The sequence below is a fragment of the Homo sapiens genome, chromosome 20 (assembly GCF_000001405.40).
Source record: "Homo sapiens chromosome 20, GRCh38.p14 Primary Assembly".
Lineage (NCBI taxonomy): Eukaryota > Metazoa > Chordata > Mammalia > Primates > Hominidae > Homo > Homo sapiens.
The window spans coordinates 16,580,789-16,586,788 of NC_000020.11; the positions used below are offsets into that span (position 1 = coordinate 16,580,789).

General features: G+C 41.2%; 1 pseudogene, besides 1 other annotated feature; it reads right to left on the reverse strand.

Moving 5' to 3' along the window:
• Positions 588-757: an enhancer, noted in NCBI's record as "experimental_59894 CRE fragment used in MPRA reporter constructs". NCBI's record gives its function as "activates a minimal promoter by MPRAs in K562 erythroleukemia cells, with activity observed for the non-introgressed 20:16562106 variant allele {active_cell/tissue: K562}" and the evidence as "EXISTENCE:reporter gene assay evidence [ECO:0000049][PMID:34662402]".
• Positions 5,545-6,000, reverse strand: RPLP0P1 (ribosomal protein lateral stalk subunit P0 pseudogene 1; annotated as a pseudogene).

Sequence of the window (6,000 nt, forward strand, 5' to 3'; positions counted from 1 at the left end):
ATGCCACACCTTTGCATTTCCTCGTATTTCCAGGAACAAAGCTGGGGTGCCTAGGAGCTGCAGCAGTTTTTCTTCTGTGTAAAATAAGCAAGCAGGACTCTGCCCCACTGCACTCCAGGGAAGGATTAAGAGAATTGATATCATCCAAATCAATTGGCCCTGTGCAGATGACTTGATAATGAGGCCATTGAGTTTTTATGGTTCACTATTATTGCTACAAAAATTATGCTGCAGAAATCATTCAAATGCTCAAAAAGGAGCATTAGTACGAAACTGGGTGTTCCAAAGTTGTTGCTGAGAGGTGTGTAATGTTCCTGAAGATCCCCAAGGCACTAAGACTTCTCTGTACATGAATGACTCATAGAGAAGAAATACACCAGATGAAAATATATGGAGAAGTTTGCCGAATGTCATATAACTTGTAAGTATTAGAGCCGAGGTCTGAACCCTGATATCTGTGTCCTTATAGCTCAGGCCTTTTCCTTCAGCCCCTCCTTCTCAGCAGAGATGTGTTGGAGAAATCACTAGAAATGGAAGAGCAGCTGTCAGAAGCAGAATTGAATGAAGTGATAGGGGAAAAACATACATGTTGATACAAATGGTCAGCCTTAAGCAAGACTGTGACATTGATGCAGCACAGGGAAGCCTCAAAATTGGGACTTAGCCCAGGAGGGTTCTTGGCTTCACCCAGGAAAGAATTCAAGGGTGAGCTGGTGGTGTTAGAATGCAACTATTACTGAAGTGGCAGTGTACGGCAGTAGCAGAGGCACTGCTTGCGGAGCAGGGATACCCCAGAGGCACTGTGCCCAGAGTAGCAGCTCAGAGGCAGTTCTGCACTCATATTTATATCCACTTTTAATTATATGCAAATTAAGGGGTGGTTTATGCAGAAATGTCTAGGAAAGTGTGGTAACTTCTGGGTTGTTGGGTTGTTGCCATGGAAAGGGGTGATAACTTCTGGATGTTGCCATGGCACACTGATGGGTGTGCCTTATGGAAAGCTGGTCCTCAATTTGGTCCAGTGTCCCAGCCCCACACTGGAGTTGAGTCCTGCCTTCTACCTCAACTTTGGTGACATTTGTCTTTGGTGGCCATAGCCTTTCTTTCTGCCATTATCAAGCACCATACCCAAGGTCTCATATCCATCCCAACAGGGTTGTAGACAGTCATTTGATCCTTTTCCTCAGCATCCTATTTTCTCTCCCTCATACACACACACACACACACACACACACACACACTCTCTCTCTCTCTCTCTCTCTCTCTCTCTCTCTCTCTGTTGTTGCTAGTATAAGGTACAACCAGACTTTTTTTATCATTTATTTTTTAAAATAAGATGTGAAATACATTCAATGGTGCATATAAAGTGTACAAATATTAAATGTTCAACTGGATGAATTATTTCATATGTATATACCCATGTAACCACCACAGATTCAGAATGTTTCTACCTTCCTAGAAAGCTCCCTGGAAGTACAGGCTTTTTATTTTAAAGTCAGGTGTATTGGGATATCAGTTTCATATAGTTATATTCAGAGTTCTTAGTGTACAGTTTTATGAGTTTTAACAAATACATACATTTGTGTAGCTACCAATATAGTCAAAATATAGAACAGTATCATCACCCCAGAAATGTCCCTGCACCCCTTTGTAGTAAATCTCTCCTAGCCCCTGCCAACCACTAATCTGCTTTCTGTTCCTACAGTTTGTCTTTTATAGGATGTCATATAAATGGAATCATATATTTTGTGTCTGACTTCTTTCACTTAGTATAATACATTTGAGATTCATCCATGTTTCAATAGTTCCTTTTATTACTGAGTAGTATTTAATTTACCGCGGTCTGTATGTCCATTCACAAGTTAAAGGACATTTGGGTGTTTCCAACTTTTGACAATTATGAAAAAAGCCACTACAAACATTCACATATAGGGTTTTGTTTGAACCTAAGTTTTCATTTCTTCTGGGCAAAAACCAAGGAAATCAAATTTCTTGGTCTATTCCAAGTACATGTTTAACTCAGAAAAAAAAAAAAAAGCAAAAACATTCCCTGGAGTGGGTATACCATTTTGCATTTACACCAGCAATGTACAAGAATCTTCCTTCTCCATATTCTCACCAGCAGTTGGGATTGCCAATTTTTTAAAGTCATTTTACCAGGTGTGCACAGATTTTTGAAGCTGCATAACATGTTCATAGATTTTATTGCCATCTTCAGAGAAGACTTAAGATCAGTCTTAAACATCTATTTATATAAGAGCAACTTGGCTCATACTAATTAGGCAGTTCATATTAACATTCCTAACTAGAGTTACTTTTACTTATTCAGTCAAATTGATTAGTTGTTTATATCTTAAGCAGTATCTATGCCAATTTCCCTAACACACTTAAAGGCAAAACTTCTGATTCACACCTGCTGCTGTCCTACAAGGTATGCCTGAAAGTTATGGCTCCTCACTTCTTTTTGGCACCTCTAAAACCCTCAACAACCTTCCCCTAATCACCCTTGTTTAGGTGTGTTTTCTGTACCAAGAAAATGAAACATCCCTCCAGCTTCTACGTTCAAAAATACATCTATCATGGAAATCCATTGGGGTGTCCCCATAAAAATACGTGTATGTACACACACACACACACACACACACACACACACACACACACACACACATATAAAACACTGCTAGGCTGGAGAAGAAAAAAAATGCTTCATTTCAGTAAACAAATTACCACTCAGTGACTTGCTAGAAAATTCGACCACTTTCCTACTCAGTCCTCACTATGCACATGACCACACACTGCAATTCTCTAGAAGTAACCACTGCCGATTTTTCTGTCTCAGTCAGAAGCATACATAGTCAGAAGCATACATAGTCAGAACCTGGTCTTCTCAGATTTGTCATACAAATTCCTCTTGGCCTGTTGCTACTTTCTGGATTTCATTGCTAATGCCTTATTCATTTGCATCAGCCTCTCTCATCTGCTGGTGCCAATAGGATGCTATCTCCAATTAGACTGTAATACATGTGCTACTTCCTAAAATTACTTATGTCCCTCCTTCCCTGCACCCACCCCACCAGCTATTTCTGTCTGTATCATTCCCAAACAGGTGAACATACTGGACATCTCAGCTGCATATTTTAATTTTTTAAACTTTATTATTTACTTTAAATAATACATGCAAAAGGACAAAAAGGTACAAAAAAGTCCTAGAGCTAGCAGTCTCTCTCCCATTCCCTTCCCTAGCTCTTCAGTTCTCTTGCTCAGAGGCAACTCCTGTTACCAGTGTCTTGTGCCATTCCAGAAAGAGAGATTTTATCTACTTACAGACATATCATCTTGATATTTTTATTCTTTGCACAGATGGTAACAAGCAATAACAACCTTTTAGAAACTTGTTTCACATAAAATCAGTATTTTGTAAAGCATTTCATTTCACTATATCTGGGTATTCTACATGTATACCTCAATAGATTTGACTCATTCTTTTTAAGAGTTGTGTAATATTCAATGTTGTGTACATAACATGATTTATCAAAAACTTTCAAGTATCTAAAGTAAAGATTTAGTGGCTTAAAGAAGATAGAAGTTCAGACTGGGCACAGTGGCTCATGCCTATAATCCCAGCACTTTGGGAGGCAAGATCACTTGATGTTAGGAGTTTGAGACCAGCCTGGCCAACATGATGAAACCCTATCTCTATTAAAAATACAAAAATTAGCCAGGGATGGTGGCGCGGACTTGTAATCCCAGCTACTCAGGAAGCTGAGGCAGGGCAATGCTTGAACCCGAGAGGTGGAGGTTGCAGAGAGCCAGGATCGCGCCGCCACTGCACTCCAGCCTGGGCGACAGTGTGAGACTCCATCTCAAGAAAAAAAAAAAAAGGAAAAAAAAAGAAGATAGAAGTTTATTTTGTGTACAAAATGAGCAGAGTTGGGGTAACTCAGGACTGCTGTAGGCAGCTATAGTCTCCAAAACTGAAGCTCTTTCTGTCTCATTGTTGTTCTGTTCTTGGTGTATGGCTGTCTTCTCGCATTGGAAAATGGCTGCTTAAGCTCCGGGCTTCACTTCTACATTTCAGCCAGGGGAAAACCAACATGTTCCCTCATGAGAAAGACACCTCCCAACTTTCAGTTATATCTCATTTTACAAAACACACAAGGGAGGATAGAAAATGTAGTCATAATTCAGGGAACCTATTACAAATTTGGGACTCTATTAAGAAGGAAGAAAGGGAGAATGAATATTGGGGTATAACAGTTAGTTTCTGCCCAGAATTGTTGCCTATCTTTTGTTCTTACCTAAAGTGCTGAAGTAGGTTTTCTTTGAGTGCAACATTTCTTTTTTTCTTTTTCTTTTCTTTCTTTTTTGTTTTTTTGAGACGGAGTCTCGCTCTGTCATCCAGGCTGGAGTGCAGTGGCGTGATCTCAGCTGACTGCAACCTCCGCCTCCTAGGTTCAAGCAATTCTCCTGCCTTGGCCTCCTGAGGAGCTGAGACCACAGGTGCAGGCCACAGATGTGGGCCACCATGCCCAGCTAATTTTTTGTATTTTTGGTAGCAACGGGGTTTCACCATGTTGGCCAGGCTGGTCTCGAACTCCTGATGTAAGTGATCTGCCTGCCTTGGCCTCCCAAAGTGCTAGGATTACAGGTGTGAGCCAATGCACCTGGCCTTGAGTGCAACATTTCACACTGTGTGGGGAGTCCATAGAATTTCTGGGTTACAGGGTATGTGCCTTTTAATTTTCATGGATGTTATTACCAAGTGCCATTTATTGACAAGGTACCAGTTCACATCCTTACCAACGTTATAAGAAAGTGCCTGTTTCCCCACGCCCTCAGTAGTCCTGAATTGTAGTCACACTTTTTTTATCTTTACCAATATGAGGGTTAAAATGTGGTATCCCAAATGGTGTTAATGGGACTGACTTAATAGGACTCCCTCTTACTTTTTAGTGAAGTTGTCAAATGTCTAGGAACCATTTGTATTTCCTTATCTCTGAACTGTTTTCATCACTTGCCCATTTGTTCACTGGATTACTTTCTTGTAACTCTGTAGAAATAATTTATAAATCTGGAAAAGTAGCATTTTCTGTGGCATTTGTTATAATTTTTCCCACAGTTTTGGCTGTTTTTTGTGTTCTTGTTTCCAGATTTCTGTTGTTCAAAGAAGTAAACTGCTGGGCACAGTGGCTCACGCCTGCAATCCTACCACTTTGGGAGGCTGAGGCAAGCAGATCACTTGAGATCAGAAGTTTGAAACCAGCCTGGCCAACATGATGAAACCCCATCTCTACTAAAATATAAAAATTAGCCTCGCATGGTGACACAAGCCTTTAATCCCAGCTACTCTGGAGGCTGAGGCACAAAAATCGCTTGAACCCAGGAGGCAGAGACTCCAATAAGCTAAGATGGCGCCACTGCACCCCAGCCTGTGAGACAGAGCAAGAGTCTATCTCAAAAATAGATAAATAAATAAATAAATAAATAAACCTTTATTTTCTTGTTTCATAAATAAAGCTGACTGAGTTGGTTGGTCTTTAGTGATCAGTCAAAAAGACCAAATCCCACATCCTTATTCAACTCCTCCAGCCCTTCCTTTGCTTCAACCTCGGCTGGGGAAGCAACCACCAATGCAGCCGGATCAACAAAGAAGACCTTGACCTTCTCATGGCGGGGGAAGGTGAACTCAGTCTCCATAGACAAAGCCAGGACCTTCTTGTACCCACTGATGATAGACAAGGAACTGACATCACAGGTGGATACCCAGTCGGCATGCACATGGTGGCAACATGGCAGACACCCTCCAGGAAGCGAGAGTGCAGTTTCCTCTGTAATATCAAGCACTTTGGGTGGTAGGTGTTGCCGTTGGCAAGCGCCTGCTGGGTGATCAGCCAAAGGAGAAGGTGAAGGGAAGTATGTCAGCACCTTCAGCAGCATGGCTTCACTGGCGGCCACTTTGTCTCCAGTCTTAATCAGCTGCACGTCACTCAGGATTTCCAT